The sequence below is a fragment of the Homo sapiens genome, chromosome 10 (genome assembly GCF_000001405.40).
Source record: "Homo sapiens chromosome 10, GRCh38.p14 Primary Assembly".
NCBI lineage: Eukaryota > Metazoa > Chordata > Mammalia > Primates > Hominidae > Homo > Homo sapiens.
Window position 1 is genome coordinate 121,059,656 of NC_000010.11, and position 19,553 is coordinate 121,079,208.

Genomic DNA, 19,553 nt, shown 5'->3' on the forward strand with positions numbered 1-19,553 from the left:
TGGAAGAGAAACTGGAAAACATGCCCCGTGGTGCTTGGATTCAGAAGCCCAGAGTTTACCTCACGAGGAACCAAGGGCATCTGGAATCGCAGCTTAACCCCTTCTTACCTGAAATACTGACAAGATCAGCAAGGTATCTCCACTGATACTGAAATGCAGAGCACCCAAAAGGGCAAATATGCGAGTCACTATGAAAGGCTGCTTTTCATCATTGCTTTAAAAGGTAATTGTTCAAGGCACAAATAATAGCAATATGCTATGGGATTTATGGGGTTTATAACATATGTAGAAGTAAAATATATGGCATCATAGCACCAAAGATGGAGAAGCAGGTAAATGTGAATATACCATTAAAACCTTGTATCTGGGCCAGATGCAGTGGCTCATGCCTGTAATCCCAGCATTTTGGGAGGCCAAGGTGGGTGGATCATGAGGTCAGGAGATTGAGACCATCCTGGCTAACACGGTGAAACCCCATCTCTACTAAAAATAAAAAAAAAAAAAAATTAGCTGGGCGCGGTGGTAGATGCCTGTATTCCCAGCTACTCGGGAGGCTGAGGCAGGTGAATGGCATGAACCCAGGAGGCAGAGCTTGCAGTGAGCCAAGATCATGCCACTGCACCGCAGCCTGGGTGACAGAGCGAGACTCCGTCTCAAAAACAACATCATCATCAACAACAACAACAACAACAAACCTCGTATCTGACGTGGTAGAAGGTTAATTCAGTGCATTTTATATTAAGGTTGCAAATTATAATCACAAGAGCAATCATTTCAAATATAAAACAAAGGGGCTATTTTATTTTTAATCTCTTTTCTTCTCTCTCATTGGAGAGAAAAAGTGAAGGGACATGCTGCCCAGATGTGCCATCAGGATGGGAGCACTACTTCCCCTAGCTGCTGCAAGATGTAGATATTGTAGCCTCTTGCTGAGCCCCTCTCCAGAATTACCATTGGTCCTAAGAAGCAGTCTCACCCAAAGATACATCCCTTACCTGGAGGCAGCCTGCATCCTATTACTCACTGATGAAGGGGCACAGGGTTCCAGCCGTCTTGCCTCAACTGGAAAGAGTCCAGTTCCAGAGCTCCCCACAGGATTGGCTGAGTCTGCTGTTGCAACTGGATCATAGTTTATTCCCCCTGCCCACTTCTGCTTCCCTCACCCCTCGCAGGGGCTGGTCCTGAGACCACTCATAGGAAACCTCCTGCACACAGTCTGTTTTCTGGGGAACTTGACCTATGAACGTTGGTCCCAGCAGCATGTTGGAGCTGTCATCTGCTAGCTGCTTCAGTGAAGACCTCATCACTGGTGGTAGGCACTTGCAGTTATGATTCACTTGTTAAAATTTTCACTGGTGGTGAACTAGGACATGATACTTGGGAAGAAACTGCTCTGGCAGATGCGAGATCTCAGGTGTTTAAGAGTTTTGGGGGAAATAGTAATTATAAGAACTATGGAATCAGATGGTTGTTGCTAGAAGCTGTTAATTCATTGGAGAAATTTAATAAAAGACTAAGTGATTAAACACCAATATAAGGCAAGGTACACATACCAGAGGACCTCTTGGCTTTTATATGAAGCCTATGAAAAGACTATTATCCTCTGCAACTGCAGGGCAGATACAGCTGAGAAGCAGGCCCCAGGTTTAATTATAAGAGTAGAAATACTGAAAGCAACACTGAAGTTTAGTCCTGGCAGGTCGGCTAGGCCAAAGTCAGTTCTATGATTAGGAAAGAGTGGGATGGGGACATTTGGGTTCATATATTAAAACATCTCAAGTTCTCAAGTTCCCAGATCCTCTGGAATTCTCTAGGCCTGGAATAGTATCCTACTCTTCTCCTTAAAGGCTAATGCCTGCTTTTGCATGAAGATGATGATGAGGTTCTGCTTTGCAAGACAATGCATGACAACTCCCTCCTTCTCCCCTCAAAAATCTACTCTTGGCCACCAGACCCATAGGTAAGGTCAAGCCACAACATATTCTAGCCAGAAAAGTGTAAACGTGCTAAGGGAAGAAACGAACTATAGCCCAGAGAGCTGTGGGACCCAGCCAATATGTCCTACAAGTGCCACAAGCACATGTGCAGGAGGGAATAGAGAGACTGCTGGACAAAGTGGGATGAAATGCAAAGCTGGATGGGGAAAATGTATTGCTATGGAAGCACTCTCCTTTGATGCAACATTTAACATCCTGGTAAGGACCCCAGGAGTTGGACGCTTAGAAAATGTGATGCCAAGTCAAATGGAGATGTCAGATCATGGAGGATGGGGAAGGAAGGGATGAAAGGCTCAGAAAATAGGCAAGCTAGAGTGGATATACCATACAAGGCCAGAGAACCGAACAGCTGATAGGTTTTTTTTTCACAAGAGGGCCTAGAAGAATGCTGTATTTGCCAAAGCAAGAAGAATACGCCGGTGAGAGGGCAAGTGTCATGAAGAAGCTCAGTGGGTGCTCTTCTCTGAAGGTCAAGACTATTACAGGATATCCAAAGGTAGATGATATAGGCCTGGGCTCCCTAGTAACAATGGGACTGATAGAGGTAGCACTTACTGTCCAATGCAAGGTGTTTGTAGTCATCATAATGTAATTATCATAAGGGGCAGCAAAGTGGGTGTGACAGCTAGTGGGATCTAACCCACAAAGAGCTACGGAAATGGTAAAAAGAAATTTGCATTCGAGGGGAAAAACAGGCAGCCAACAAAGTATTATTGCTCAACCTCTACAACTAAAATAAACCAAGGATGGCTCATCAGGAAGCTGAGGGCAAGACGGACTGAAGAAGAAGCTAATCTCCCAGACCTTCCTCCAAAGGGACCTGCAGCCATTTCCTTGGGTAACTGGACTCTGGGGAGGGTAAATGCCCAAACATTTTGAAGATGTTGGACACGGATTGTTGTTGACATTGATACCTGGGGACCTGAAACAAGAATGAACACTCCATTAGAGGGGGTGAACATAAGACCCAGATAATAAATAAAGTCCTGAACAAAATTCAGTTCACAGTCAGCTCAGATATGTCTTCTGAGTAGGTATACCGGGCTGGCAAAGGCAGTCTAATGAAGGCAATCATGGGTTCTAGATTTAGGATGGCAAACCTCACCATACAAATGGCAGGATTACACCTGCTGGGCATGAAATAGTAGGTAATAGCTGCTTCCCCTAACTGCTACAAGAGGTAAATACTGTAGCCTCTGCTGAACGCCTCTCCAGAGTTACCCTTGGTCCCAAGAAGCAGTCTCACCCAAATATACAGCTTATATTAGAGCATGAGCTTTGAAACCAGACAGAGGTGTATTCACATCCCAGTTCTGCCACTCAGTAACTAGGATTCTTGACAAGGTAACCTCTCTGAGCCTCAGTTTTTTGATCTTTAAAATGGGAATATTACTAACATCTTCATAAGGTTATTTTCACATGTAGAAGAGACAATAAGTGGTTAACCCTCAGCCCAATGCTGGGCACTACAGAGATGGCAGCTGTTATGATGAGAGTTACTGTGAAAAGGGTTTGGAAATTTGCAGCAATGCGTTCCGACCATGAAGTCTTGGACACACCAATTTGGATGGTGGTTGCAGAAGTGTGTGCTGCTGCCCAGGGGTGTTGCTGTGGAAGGACCTTGACAGGCAATGGGAGGCAGGAGCTCCGCAAACATGAAAATGTCACAGGAACCTCTGAGATGTGTCACCTGGAGCCACAACAGATGACAGAGATGGCAAAACATCTGCTTTAGTTTTGTTCAGAGCAAAGAGCTCAAGAAAAGTGAGGATCAAATTCTACAGAACTGTTCCCATTCCCTTCTTGTCTCTCTTTTCCTGGCTCAGAATGATCTTGACAATGAAGAGGCAGTAGGAGACTTACTACCTCTGTAGCCAGAACAAGCTGAAAACAGAAGCAGGCCTCGGGGCATTGGGTTCACTTAGAGGATGATTGATGCTGAGATGCTTCAGTTATTCAGAATCCAGCAATCTGGTAACCTCGTGTATCCGGGATGTTATAGAAAATGTGGAAGTAAGTCTGCAAAACATCTCAGGTGTCAAAAGAGAAATATCAAAGTATACTCACAATATGCAAGGAGAGAAGAGGAGAGGCCCTTTCCCTGAGCCCTCAGTAAGGCTTATCTGTTTCTATTTTCCCCACAGCGGTACAAGCTGCTTCCCTGTCCTGACAAGCACAATAAAAGGTGCAAACCTGAGGAACGTGGGGACCTCACAGAGGCAGGCGCAGCCGGCTCATCGAGATGTGTGGACAGCAGAAAGCGAGTGAGGCAAGAGAAAATCAGCACAGGGTAAACATCAGAGATCAAAGGGCAGCAGCTGGAGTCACTGGGTGGAGAAGCAGCGCAACTGTGGCTTACCCAGGCAGCCAGGGTTCCAGGAGATTCTTCTAGGCCAGAGCTCTGACATATTCACCAAACAGCTGACAACTTTGCCTTTTGCATGGGAAATAAGTGGAAATGAATCTTGGCCATCCACCACTGGTTTCGAAAAGATCCAGGCAAGGTCTGTGTGCACCTGCCACACAAAAATGAATTTCATGTGATTGCAACAAACAGAACAATAGTGCAAGCAAAATTCCTAGGAAAACTTTTGTCCAGAGGTAATGCCAGCTGGTTGTAGCATTGCAACTAAAGTTCAGAGAGGGACTCACTCATTCCACAGGGCTCCAGTGGGGTTTTGGACTTACAACTGGATGTCATCACCTCTGCGGGTGCCTGAATAATGACTCTCATAGATTTTCAGGGTTATACTCTGGAACAACTTGTAGTTGTTATTAATACCTTACATTACAAAACGGGTTTTGCAGATGTGATTAAGGTAAGGATTTTGAGATGGGGAGATTATCTTGGATTATCTAGGTGGGCTCTAAATGTAATCACAAGGATCCTTATAAGATACTTATAAATATGAGGAGGGGGAAGAGAGATGACTATAGAAGAAGAAAAGGCAATATGGTGGCAGAATTCTGGGACAGATGGTGGGAGGTTGGAAGATGCTTTTCTACTGGCTTTGAAGATGGAGGAAGGAGTCATGTGCCAAGGAATACAGGTGGCTGCTAGAAGCTGAAAAAGGCAAGAAACAGTTCTCCCTGGGAGCCTCCTGAAGTAACCAACCAAACATTGAAAGGGTAGAGGGAAGTGTTCAGTGTTGGTCAGACATGTGAAAAAATAATTCATGATCCATTCAGAAACTGATCACCATACACTTATCAGTTAGAGGGCTAAAGCTAGTGTAGCAACATTTAGAGAATGTATAATATCTGTTTTTTTTTTTTTTTAAGACAAAGTCACTCTGTTGCCCAGGCTGGAGTGCAGTGGCATGATCTTGGCTCATTGCAACCTCCACCTCCCGAGTTCAAGTGATTCCCCTGCCTCAGCCTCCTGAGTAGTTGGGATTACAGGCAAGCGCTACCATGCCCAGTTAATTTTTGTATTTCTAATAGAGACAGGGTTTCATCCTGTTGGCCAGACGGGTCTCGAACTCCTGACCTCAGGTGATCTGCCCGCCTCAGACTCCCAAAGTGCTGGAATTACAGGCATGAGGCACTGCACCCAGTGTATAATACCATTTTTAATGTAATATCATTTTGTATCGAGAAAAAAGGAACAACAGAAAAATTCTGACTGGCCTCCATATCTCTTGGTGGCCCACATTTTCAACTTCCTCAGTTAATTTTTTCCACCTTTTTCTTCAATGGCTTGATTGAGATCTATTTCACATACCTTATAATTCACATACTTTAAAGTATACAATGCAGTAGTGTTCAGTATATTTACAAAATTTTGCAACCATCCCCATTATCTAACTCCAGAACATTTTCATCACCCTAAAAAGAAAGCTCATGTGCATTGGTAGTCACTCCCCATGTTACCACAGCCCTCATCCCTAGGCAATCATTAATCTACTTCCTGTCTCTATAGACTAACCCATTCTAGACATTTTATGTAAATGGAATCATACAATATGTGGCCTTTGGGTCTGGCTTCTTTCAGTTAGCATAAAGTTTTTAAGGTTCATCCATGTTTATCAGTATCAGTACTTCATTCCTTGTTAAGGCTACTATTCCATTGTATGGATATACCATGCTTTATCCATTCATCAGCTGATAGACTTTTGGGCTATTATATATAATATTGACATGTATGAATTTTCATATGGACATATATTTTCAACTATCATGGGCATACTGTACCTGGCATAAAATTGCTGGATCATATGGTAACTCTATGTTTAACTTTTTAAGGAATTGCCAGACAACTTTCCAAGATCATGACACCCTATTACATTCCCACCAGCAATCTATGAGTTGTCCAGTTCCTCCACATCTTTGTCAATACTTGTTACTGTCTGCCTTTTTGATTATAGCTATTCTAATGGGTGTGAAGTGATATTTCATTGTGGTTTTGACTTGCACTTCCCTAATGACCAATGATGTTGAATATCCTTTCATGTGTTAATCATTTATTTGAATATCTTCATCAGAGAAATGTCTATTCAGACCGTTTGCCTATTTTTAAATTGGTTTGTCTGTCTTTTTGTTGTTGAGTTGTAAGAGTTCTTTATATATTCTGGATATAATTTCCTTATCAGATATATGATTGGCAAATATTTTCTCCCATTGGGTGGGTTGTCTTTTTACTTTCGTAATAGCATACTTTGAAGCACAAACGTTTTAAATTTTGATTAAATTTGATTATCTGGATATTTTTTGTTCCTTGTGCTTTAGGTGTCATATCTAAGAAGTCATTGCCTAACCTAAAGTCATCAAGATTTACACATATTTCCTTCTAAAAGATTTGTTGTTTTAGTTCTATATTTAGGTCTATGATCTATTTTAAATTAATTTTTGTATACTGTGTGGGGCAGGGATCCAACTTCATTTGTTTGCATGTGAATATATAGTTGTTTCAGTATAATTTGTTGAAAAGACTGTTCTTTCCCCCATTGAATGGTCTTGGCACTTTTCTTGAAAATCAATTGACTACAGATATATGGGTGTATTATTGGACTCACAATTCTGTTCCATTAATCTATATGTCTATCTTTATGCCAGTACCACACAGTCTTGGTTACTGTAGTTTTATAGTAGTTTTTGAAATCTTTGCATGAATCCTCCAACTTTATTCTTTTTATTTTTCAAGATTGTTTTGGCTATTCTGGGTCCTTTGAATTTCCATAAATACTTTGGAATCACTTGTCAATTTACACATGCACATACATATACAAAGGCAGCTGGAGTTTTGATAGAACTTGTATTGAATATTGAATTCATAGACCATTTGGGGAAGTATTGCCATCTTAACACTATTAAGTCTTCCAATTCATAAATTCTTTATATTTAATCTTTTGAAATTCTTCAACAATGTTTTATAGTTTTCAGTGTGTATATCTTATACGACTTTGTTTAAATCGATTCCCAAGCATTTTATTCTTTTTTATACTATTGTAAATGGAATTGTTTTCTCAATTTCATTTTCAGATCATTCTTTGCTATTGTATAGAAATATAATTGATTTTATATACTTATCTTGTGTTCTGCAACCTTGCTGAACTGATTTAGTAGTTCTAATATATTTTAGTGGATTCCTTAGGATTTTCTACAAGATTATACAGTCTACAATATTATGTCATCTGCAAATGGAAGTAGTTTTGTGTCTTCATTTCTAGTCAGGATGATTTTTATTTCTTTTTCCTGGCTAATTTTCCTGGCTAAAACCTCCAGTGCAATATTGATTAGAAGTGCCAAAAATGAACATTTTTTTCTTGTACCTGATTTTTAGGGGGAAAGCATTCAGTCTTTTACCTCTTTTTGGCTATGGGCTTATTATAGATACCCTTTGTGTTAGTTCATTCAGGCTGCTGTAACAAAATATAATAAACGGGGTGGCTTATGAACAATAGACATGTATTTTTCACAATTCTGGAAACTGGGAGGTCCAAGATCAAGGTGCTGGCGGATTCAGTGTCTGGTGAGGGCCAACCTTCTGATTGATCTTTTCTCTGTGTCCTCACATGGTGAAATGAGTAAGGGAGATCTCTCGAGCCTCTTCCATAAGGGCACTAATCCCATTCATGAGGGCTTCACCCTCACAGCCTAATCATCCCCCAAATGTCCACCTTCTAACACCATCCCCTTGCAGGTTAGGATTTCAACATATGAATTTCGGGGGGACACATTCAGACCACAGCACCCTTTCTCAGGTTGAGGAAGTTCCCTCCTATTCCTACTTTCTGAGTGTTCCCTGTTTCTTTAAAAAACAAAAATTATGCCCAGCTTAGGGCATAATTATGTCCCCCTCCATTATCTTATTTCCATATCATTCAATTCCAGCTTAGAGCTGTCTGAATGTCTCGTTTTGTACATTCAAGAAGGTATTGTCATATCTGATGCTCACAGTGACAACTCAAAGACTAAAAATTCTGTGATATCCCAAGTTTCAGGAGGCACAGCACTATATAAAACACTTTGAAATATTTCTGTCCAAAGTGGTTTAAATATTACTTATAATAACTAGTAAAAGTTTAAAAAGTGGTTTAAGGCTGGGCGCGGTGGCTCACGCCTGTAATCCCAGCACTTTGGGAGGCCGAGGCGGGCGGATCACAAGGTCAGGAGATTGAGACCATCTTGGCTAACACGGTGAAACCCCGTCTCTACTAAAAATACAAAAAATTAGCCGGGCGCGGTGGCGGGTGCCTGTAGTCCCAGCTACTCAGGAGGTTGAGGCAGGAGAATGGCGTGAACCTGGGAGGCGGAGCTTGCAGTGAGCCGAGATTGTGCCACTGCAATCCGGCCTGGGCTAAAGAGCGGGACTCCGTCTCAAAAAAAAAAAAAAAAAAAAAAAAAAAAAGTGGTTTAAATAAAGTGAAGAGTATTACTGCTCAAAAGGTGAACTCCCCTGCCCACCCGGTTCCCCAGTGAAGTCCTGCGCTGCTTGCTCTGTTTCCTTCTCCATGTCAGTTAAAATCAACACATTCCTTTTATCACCCGATGAGGAAACAGGTCCCTCTCAAGCCTGCAACTGGTTATCTTCCAAGTCCTTTAGTTCTTCTTCCTTTATCCCCACTAATTGCAAGTCTCCCTCCATTATCTTCTTATTTCCACATTGTTCAATTCCAGTGGAATACAGGAATTGGCCCATGGGGAAGAGCAGAAAAACGAAAGGAATGAAAATGCTTCAGTGTTTCAGGAGATTTGAAGATGTTTCAGGAGATTTCAGTGTTTCAGGAGATTGAAGCTGCAGTGAGGATGAGCCTCCCTGATCCCCTTCTCCTCCCGTGTCCCTGCTGGACTAAAGGAGTTCCCATGAGGGAGGCTGGCAGCTGACAGGATCACCCAGGACTAGGACTTGTGGCCCCCAGACCACTCCTGGATGTGCCCCATAGCGGCCCCTGAAGGCGCTGCCTCCTTCTTTGCTGGGCCTCAGCCTCTTTGCTGGGCCTTGGGTCTCGGGACCTCCAAGGCATGTCATCTTCTTTCTCTGTGTCCTCCACTGCTCAGATTGTGGCTGCCTCAGCCATGGCAAATGGCAAGGACCCCAGTTTCACTTCCCGGCCCACCCAGACACCAGGCAGAAACTCTAATAACCACTTTTCTGGGTTTCTACATCCTGTGTCTCTGGATGACTAATCATCTCCAGAGCATGAACAATTGAGTCATCTCAAGCCCCAGGCTTGAATTTGTGCACAAGGCAACCAGCTTCTCCTCGGCAGGCTCTGGGAGCACTGGCTGAAGTAGGTGTGGCCCTCCTAAGTCACCATCCTGGCCTGGAACTCTTGGAGCACAATAGGCTCCTCCGGGTTTGTTGAAGAGCCTTTGCTCAACTGAACCTCTTTATTGTAGGCTTTTGCTCCTTTCTGAACAGGCTCTTACAAGTAGAGCATGCAAGATCGCATTATGTTTAGAGTCCCCATGAGGCCATGCTCTGCAGGCGGCCTTGGGACACCAGCGCATCCTCTTCTGGGAACAGAACTCCAAGCTCCTTTGAATAACAACTACTCCCCTTCTCTCTGAGCTGACTCAGGCCGGCCAATTGACATAATTCCAATCTCTGGTGACAGTTATTGCTTCAGGGATTGGCACATAACCCAAGTTTGTCCTACTAGAATAAATCCTGGGACTTATTTATAAGCTGACAGAAGGAGATGTATTCTTTTTTCCACAGCCTCTATCCTGAAGAGCGTTGGACCCTGGAGCTGCTGGCCACATCTTGATCTGCCATATGTGGTCCAAGAATGAAGTCAACACGAAGGAGAATGAAGGTGCTGAGGGATAAAGTTATTGACATTCTAGGAGCTCCTGGATCAAACCATGCCTGAACTCAATTTATCCCTTGAACTTTTCAATTACATGAATAAATCCTCCTTTTGCCTGAGTCAATGTGGATTAGTATCATTGGCATTCAGAAGATTCCTAAAGTCTCAGGTCTTCTGCACATCTATAACCATGGCAATTGCGGTCCTGCTCTCCTTTCCCCTCCCCTGAGCAGGCAAGCTTTCCTTCTCTATCATGTAAACCTCCTGGGTCATTCAGAGTATTTCTCAAATGTTACCTGGAGTTTCCCAAGACTTCAGTTCTCACTGACCATTTACTTCTTAAACTGCTAGGATGATAACCTATAACTTTGCATCTAACCAATCCCTTAGCACTTTCCTTAGAGACTTCTTAGAGATCTTTTTGATGCCTAAGGGTAGGAATCAGGGCTTCTCTATCTTGTATATGCACTGCCCCCCACCCACAGGTCCATAGAATAACAGCTGAGGACCTGTAGCTCTACAAGGGCAGGGACTGTCAAACATGCCAGACTGCACATGGTAGTTACCACTAGAGGGCTCTGGGTATGGGCAATAAGCAGGACTTCTGCATTTTACATCTATGCTATCATTCGAGTCTTGTATGAGCATTTATTTTACAAATCTCTATCTTGCAAAGCAAACCCTTAGTGTGAATAACTGAGGAGTGGTGGATCGGCCAGCTCTTCCGTGCAGTGTTCTAAAGCCTCTTGCTCCTGTCTCTCCTGTGGGAAACCCATAGTTACGGCTTCAAGCAGAGACCCAAGCACCACCTCAGGGTCTTGACCTTGTGTGGGAATAATCTATCACCAAGATGCAGACAGAGACAAACTGCTTCACAGAGCATTTTATCCCCTAGAAAATCCCCAACCCCAGCATCCTGGGTGCTGCCCAACCTCTTCAAATACAAAGGCAAATAAAATAAATAAAAGTAAATATTGTACTCATAAGCAACAGAATGCCTAGCAACCAAGAACAAGGGAGGGCTGGAGGAAGAAGGTTGACTTTCGCAGGCCCTTGTGTATAAACTGCAGTAAAAGTCTTCTCTGTGTGAATAATATATTTTTGAGCGTTAAATTATAGAAGGTGTAAGGAATGCTAAGGCTGAGACCCAACAGAGAGAGCTGGCCCCACCCTGAATGGGAGGGGCAGGGGTCTCCTTGGTCTTTGTCCCTGCTGACTGGTATTGAGGGAGGGGGAGTCTCCGCTGTAGCTTCAGGAATGGAACACAGGGCACCAGGCCTCAGTTAATCCCTTTAGGGACCCTTAGCCCTGAAACAATGCTGGTGCAACCCCACATGTAACTCAGAAGAAAATGTTAAGTCACGAAATAAATGTAAGAGCTCTGATGTTTTTCTATAACACCCATTTCAATGCTTTGTTAGAAAGTATGTACGTAAAGCACATGACATTGTTCTCATTAAATTTTTTTGTTACGAAAACTTTTAAACACACTCAGAAGAGTAGGATTTTTGAACCTCTCATCTGGGTACAATATTATTAAAATTCTGCCACATCTGCCTTGTTGATCTTTTTGCTCTTTTTCTTGGTTAAACTATTTGGAAGCAAATCCAAGGCATCATGTCATTTCATCTGCACATACCTTGGTATAATCCATGAAAATTATGGACATATTCTCATATAACCATAAAGCCAGTATCATACCTTAATGAGTTGGGTATGTTCTGTTTGTTTTTGTTTTGGGCATCCTCCAACCTCCAGTACCTAACCCATTATCAGATTTCCCTGATTGTCTCAAAGGGTCTTTTGCATTTGTTGTGTGTTCTCATTGTTAATACCCTTGTGTCGTAAGTCCCCTGGGTGCATGCTTAGATTGACTTTTGGAAATCTAAGATTATTTGGTATTTATTGAAAGCAGAAGAGAGGGAAGAAAAAAAAAAGACAAAGCAGTGAAAAGGAAAACATGGAAGTGGTATTTTTATAAGATCTATGTGACATTTTGCTGGCTGTCACCTTTGCTCATATAGGATCCCCACTGCTTAGGATAGGATTAAACTGTCCCAGCTTATAAAGCAGGCATTTTCCCCAGTGTCTTCTGAATTCTGAAGATTTTGGGTGGGATGTGGATAAAGTGTTGCTGTCCTTGTCTGTCACCATGACAACTCCAGCCAGGACTTGGCCTTGCTAGGGTTTTCTGGTGGATTGTGGAGCCTGCTACCCCTAGGTCACAATGAGCAGGAACGTGGATTTACAGATATACAGCTGCTCCCTGGCATGGCTTCCCCAAGGAAGTAGGAGAGGGGATCTTGAGGGCCAAGGTTAGTAGCAAATGTGAAAGCTAAGAAGAGACATGGAAAACTTCTCTTGACTACATGGGGGTTGGTCGGGGGTACATCTGACTCCCACGAACAGACAAATCTAAGAAGAGTGAGAAGCATTCTTACCTTCTGACCCAGCAACCCCACCTCTAGGAATTTGTTGAGAAAAAGCCAGAGTTTGCACAAAGATTTATTTTGTTTGAGAATGTCCCTTAAGCTCTTTATAGCAATAAAAAGAGCTGGGAGGATTGCCTTAAGACTCAATGATGCAGAATTGGTTTAATAAATTATAGCTCATTGCTATAAGGGAACACTAAGCATCCATTCAAAACATGTTTTGAAAAAATATTCAAAGATACAGAAAAATGTCCACAATATATTAAGTGGAAGAAAAAAGAGGTTATAAAAAATCAGTCTGATGTCAGTCTCATTTTCTCATTTTTTAAAAATTAAAAGAAAAAGAAATGAGGGAGGGACTGAGAAGTCTATAATTAAAATGTTTCTTAAAATATATATAGTTTTTTCACTAAGTGATAAAATTTTTGACATTACTTTTCAAATTTCTTACGATGAACACCCGTCAACTTGTAATATAAAATTTTTATTTTATTTCCTTATTTATTTATTTTGAGACAGAGTTTCACTCTATCACCCAGGCTGGAATGCAGTGGCATAGTCTTGGTTCAGTGCAGCTTTGACTTCCTGGGCTCAAGTGATCCTCTTGCTTCAATCTCCTGAGTAGCTGGGATTATAGGGACTCACCACTACACCGGGCTAATTTTTGTAAAAAAAAAAATTTTAGCAATAGGGTCTCACTATGTTGCCCAGGCTGGTCTTGAACTCCTGGACTCGAGAGATCCTCTAGCCTCATCCTCTCAAAGCACTGGGATTACAGTTATGAGCCACTGTGCCCAGCCTAATTTTTATATTAATAATAGTAAATGTAACAAAGAGGCAAAAGGAAAGGAGGAAGGAAAGAATGGGAGAGACAGGGAGGGGAAGAGAAGGTAAAGTGCAAACAGAAAAGAAAAGGGAGAGAAAGAAACAGAAAAGAAAAGTAACCTGGGCCCATGAGATTTAAGAGCAGTTTTAGAAAGTTCATTTAGGGTTAAAAAAATTCTGTTACAAAAGAAGAAAAGGAAACAAAATAAAGATTTAGAAGGTCTAAGTAATTTTTAAATAAGTTGTTGGCACATATACATTGACTGGACAACCTCAGGCCAAAATTTTCTTTGGAGAGTGTGGCTTCCTTCCTTTATAAGACTAACATAAACATACGTGTGCATGTGGGTGCAGCGCACCAGCACGGCACATGTATACATATGTAACTAACCTGCACAATGTGCACATGTACCCTAAAACTTAAAGTATAATAAAAAAAAAAGTGCTTATAAAATATGAAAAAAAAAAAATACATAACAAAAGACTAACATAATAATGAATCTTGACTTTTTAGGTTGTGAGGATAATAAGTAATTTATAATACTGTAGAAATGAATTTATATAATTTTACTGAATGGTCATAAGGTAGCCGTTCAATCAATTAAGAACCCGGTATCGAGTTTCACAATTTATTAGCTAAAAAGGGTCTGCCTAGGGGACTGCTGCTCACTAAAATGTGATGACAAAGTTGGATAAAACTCTCCCCATGAAGTTTTCCAGGCCACTCAGAAATTACTGTCTGTGTTCAACGTGAAAAGAAAAACATGCAGCTCCTGGTGACAGCTACTGGCCTACAAGCAAATGAAGCTTAAAGCAATGTGTTTCTTGGGGACACTGGCCAGTGTGGCCTCTGTCATCAGGATGGTGGTGTCACCTGCCTATTGTCCTAGTCCCTGGTTCTGCAGCTTTTGCTGGGGCTTTGGGGAAGAGGATGGCAGAGGAGGGCACAGTTCGGGCAGGGGGGGTCCCCAGAACTCCTTCCCTCTCTGACCCCTTCTTGCCTTTTCCAAAACAGACCCATGGCACGGGGCATTTAGAACAGCACACACATCCTACAGAACACACTCAGTTAATTCTCAGTTGTCCAGGGCTGTGTAGTCCAGTTATGATTTCAGGCACTGATTGCCTTCCTCTCCCCGATCTTTGGTTAGCTGAGATGGCTCCTAGCATTTCCGCACATCATGGCTGAGGAGAAAGTTGAAGCTCCTGCCAAGAATGGGAGATGATCACTGTCCGGGGCTTTCTGGTCCCTGGCACACTAAGAACCTCTTACGTGTTGGCTTCATCCTCAGCATGCATCTAACCGGTATTTATTGAGCACCTGCTCTGCACTGGAGCCTATTCTAGGTACTAAAGATATAGCAGTGAACAAAACAAAGTTTTCCTTCCAGAAAATAAACAGTAAGAAGACAATAAACAAGAAAAATACATAAAGCATATAGTATGCCAGATGGTTTAGAGCTAAGAATGAAAATGAAGTAGAGACAATAGGGGCAAGAAATCTGAAAGGTTGCTATTCAGACACAGTGACCAGGGAAGGCCTTGCCAAAGAATGCTATTTGGGTTTTTTGTTTGGTTTGAGATGGAGTCATGCTCTGTCTCCCAGGCTGGAGTGCAGTGGCACGATCTTGGGTTGCTGCAACCTCCACTTCCCAGGTTCAAGTGATTCTCCTGCCTCAGCTTCCGAAGTAGCTGGGATTACAGGCATGCGCCATGACATCTGGCTAATTTTTGTATTTTTAGTAGAGATGGGGTTTTTGCCATGTTGGCCAGGCTGGTCTCGAACTCCTGACCTCAGGTGATCCGCCCGTCTTGGCCTCCCAAAGTGCTGGAATTACAGGCATGAGCCATCACGCCCAGCCAAGAATCCTATTTGTAAATGGGAGTGAAGGAGGTGAGAGAGTGAGCCAGGCAAGGATTCGAAGAAAGAGACATCTAAGCAAGGATGCCGCGAGTGCAAAGACCCTGAGGTCAGTTGGTTTCCGGCATTCCTAAGCAATGTTTCTCAATCTTTTTCTTATTGCCCTCTTATGGAGTTCTTTTACACGTTTTTATTTTCGCTAATTGCCCCCTCATGACATTTTAAAGCCGTAGATACATCATATATCCGTTCATTTACTGTGTGTATATCTGTGCTTTATAAATGTTAAAAAGTAAGATACTTTTTGCCCTCAAGAGCCAACTTGTGTACCCTTGGGAGTGGCATGGTCTCCACTGAGAAGGCAGAACTTCTGCTCAGCAGGAGGCCAGTGAGGCTGAAGCAGGGAGGCCAGAGCTGCAGAGGAGAAACATCCCAGGGCCAGGGCCAGCCCAGCCCAGTCAGGGCCTTGTAGCTTATCACCAGGACCCTTCACTCTGAGCAACCCGGTTTGACTCGTGTTTTATTAGGATTGCTCTGGCCACTGTGGGAATATAGAAACGGATGGCAATAATCCCTGTCTTAAATAAGGTTACGGTAGAGTGAAGAGACGGCGCTCTCTTTTTCCTCTCCTTCCCGCCTCTGTTCCTCTCTCCCTTTCTCCCTTCTCTCTCCCCTTTACTCCCTCTCTTCCTCCCTTCTTCTCTCCTTCCTTCTCTCCCTTCCTTCCCTTAGTCCTTTCATAAACATTTGCAGAGTGCCAGTTCTGGGCAGGTAATCAAGGGATGTTTGAATTCACTGTGCTGAGTTGTTATAAAGTTGTGCACAGCACGTTATGGAGGCACAGACGAAGGAGCCCTGTGGGAACAGAAGAGGGGCCTGGGCAGAGACTCAGAGGGCTTCTTAGGGAAAGAGTCATTGGGAGCCAGATATGCAAGGATGAAGGCCTGGGCAGAGACTCAGAGGGCTTCTTAGGGGAAGAGTCATTGGGAGCCAGATATGCAAGGATGAAGAAGGGCTGGGCAGGAGCAGAGGTATAAGAAGCACTTCAGGTGTAGGGGAAGGCATGGGCTGAAGCCAGAGACATGGCCAGAGGGAAGAGGCAGGAAGCTCCAACATTTGGGCTAGGCTGGAGGGAGGACCAGGTGGGAGGGAGGTGACAGAGAGGCCTCAACTGTCCCCCACACTGATCACAACACCTAGCTGGGAGGAGCGCTCCGTAGATGCTGGAAGAAGGAAGCCATCACTCATGAGCTTCTTTGCTTATGTAGGATCTTACTCACCACACCTTGTCTTGGGCTCAGGGCTCTCAGCATTGAGGACCTTGGCATCAGGACACAAAGCAGGGCCTGATCTTATGGGGCCTCAGAGGCCACATTCGAGATCTCAGACTTCATCCTGTGGCATGAGGAGCACAGGATTTTGAGCCACACAGTCACGTGGGTACTTGCATTGGCTACTGCCTTCAGGTGGTGGCTTTGAGGGAGCCCAAGTGAAGGCAGCTGGGGGGCCGAGATGCAGTAAGGAGACCAGGTGAGAGATGCAAAGGGCCTGCAGTCAGAGCCCAGGTGTGCGAGCTCTAATCTTCCAGTCTTCTCTAATCACACTCATTATTTGTCTAACTCTGGCAATATGAGGAAGTCAGGATCCAGCCCAGCTTCAAGGGAAAATCCAAATCTGTTCAAAGATGGACATAACTGGAGAGGCATGATTGCCTCTCCAGCAGACACGAACATCGCTGTCTGCTGCTCCTCCCCCTTCAACCTTGGACACAGTTTCCAAAATCCTCTTCCCATTTTGAATGACCCATGATAAAGTCAGGGAGAGAGAGTTCACAGAGTTTTCCCTGAGGCCTGGGCAGGTGCAGCTTTATTTACCCGACAGGTCCTTGTGACGGGCCTTGGCACAGACATGGTATTCCCAATAAGAATGGCATGTTCTATGCAGACTGTGACCTCCAGCCCAGGCTGCCCAGGAGCTCCAGCCTGAGTGCCTCGCACTGTCAGTGTCTCAGCCCTGTGGATCCCTGCTCTCTGCTCTCCTCTTTTTCATTAACTTTAACTGCACTTGGGCAGATTTGCAGGAATAAATCAAGAACAGAACAGACAAGGATCTGCATCCAAAGCACAGACTGATGCTCCTTTTGGGGCCAGAGCCCATGAGGAAAATTGCTTCTGCTCATCATTTTTCATTTTCTAACAGCCTCATCTTCTCCAGTTTCTAAATCCCTGGAGGAGCCAGTAGCAAAAATGTTTCAATGGCCAAGTCTCGATATTGGAGGAAAGCAAGATGTGGAGGTGGACCCCTCCCCACCTCCAACTCCACCCCACCATTCACTACTTGGGTTTAAGGATGAGAAAGGAGAAAATTGCTCACCCCGCTCCAAGGAGAAGTGGAATTTAAGCGACAAGAGACCTGGACAGCTGCTTTCAGCAACGCTGATTGCATGTGAAGAAGGGGATTGCACAAGCCCAACTGCCTGGGGAGGTTTCGTAAAGTTTGGAATGTGAGGTCTGCGTAGCCAGGGCCTAGACACCCCTGCTGGGTTTTCTTACCCATGGCAGTGAAGACAGTTCATTGGAGGACGCAGCTGTAGTTTAGGATGCCAGCCCCAAACCCTGGGAAAAACGCTCAGATGTCCTGAAATCATTGCTAATGTCCCAGCACGTGCTCAACTCCTGTTGCTGTCTTTGGGACTAATGCTATACATAGAAAAGGCATGTGCTATCGTGGTGAAGGGTCAGGCTTTGAGAACAGATAAGTCCTGGCTCAAATCTTGTCTCCAACCTCCTATTATACTATAGCATACTATATGACACAACACTACACTACGCTATGCTACACTACACCACTCTCTATTGTACTATCTAATACTATCCACCACACTACACCCCTATTATACTATCTATTAGCATTCTATTCTATCCTTTGTTATACTACCCAGCACTGTGCCTGGCACTTAGTAAGTACACAGAAAAATGAGAGTTATTCCCATTATTGAATAAGTTTAGGATGCCGTCTTGGAAATCACTTGAAACGGCCAAATCTGAGGTTCTGTGTGAGGCTGGACCTGAGAGGGAGGCGAGGAGAAGGAGAGAAGCGGGTAGCATCCTTCAAAGCAGCTGAACCAGCCTGCTCCCCGGGCAGGGTGTGAGGGGCCATGCCTAGAGGGGAGGGGGTGAATCAGCTTGATGTTCCTCAGGGAAGCTTCAAAGGTCCTGGAGCAGGGCCAGAGAACGGAATGCAAATGATGTTGGTTTACTGAATAAGCCAAACTCACCTGGCAAATCTCCATCTAGCAAATCTCAATCGGGTGCTTTCCTGCACCCCCTGTGATTCTCTCTACCCTGGATTCATTCAGACGCTCATTCTCCTATACTCCCACTATATCTTATACACAACTCCACAGTAGCAAGGATAATAATGTTTTTTGATCATCTGCCAGCTCTTTGATGGTGTGGACTGAATCCTTTCACCTGTCTGTCCCCAGCACTGATCATAGCACTGAATCCTTTCACCTGTCTGTCCCCAGCACTGATCACAGCACCTAGGTGGGAGGAGCGCTCCGTAGATGCTGGAAGAAGGAAGCTGTCACTCATGAGCTTCTTTGCTTATGTAGGATCTTACGCACCACACCTTGTCTTGGGCTCAGGGCTCTCAGCATTGAGGACCTCGGCCTTTCTTTCGGGTATTTCCCAGATGTGACACATGCCCGGCATGAAGGCAGCTATGTGAGTTAACTATCTCACAGTTTACTCTTTCCAGTTTCACAGGCTGCTCCTTCTTCCTAGTAGTTTTCTGGCATTTGAGCAGGGCCATACCTGCCCCCTTCGCACATTCCTGGGCTTAGATCCACATTCCCTGGGTCTTCATCATTCCAGACGCAAAGACCTGATCTGTCTTGCCTGCCAGTGCTCACCCCACACCTTGACAACCTCTCCATCATTTTCATTCCTTTTGCTGGCCCTGCTCCAGGACCTCTGAGGCTTGAGAAGCAGCAAGCTGATTCACCCCGTCCCGTCTAGGCGTGGCCCCTCACACCCTGCCCAGGGAGCAGGCTAGTTCAGCTGCTTTGAAGGATGCTGCCTGCTTCTCTCCTCCTCACTGCCCTCTCAGGTCCAGCCTCATACAGCCTCATACAGCCTCGGAGTCAGCCGTTTCAAGTGATTTCCAAGAATCATCATTG

General features: G+C 44.0%; 1 long non-coding RNA gene across 5 annotated transcripts in view; it reads right to left on the bottom strand.

Moving 5' to 3' along the window:
* The window catches only part of LOC105378521 (uncharacterized), a 78,111-nt gene extending 60,290 nt beyond the window's left edge, over positions 1 to 17,821 (bottom strand). For 2 of the 5 annotated variants that reach the window (XR_001747611.2, XR_946376.3), the window contains exons 1-3: positions 17,744 to 17,821; positions 16,651 to 16,765; positions 4,357 to 4,513 (exon numbers count right to left, since the gene is read on the bottom strand). This is a non-coding gene — a long non-coding RNA (uncharacterized LOC105378521). Of the gene's footprint in view, positions 1 to 717; positions 4,514 to 16,650; positions 16,766 to 17,743 lie in introns of those variants that run through there. The other 3 variants (XR_946377.2, XR_001747612.2, XR_001747610.2) reach the window with 3 other exon arrangements.
* Between the last annotated feature and the right edge of the window lie 1,732 nt (positions 17,822 to 19,553).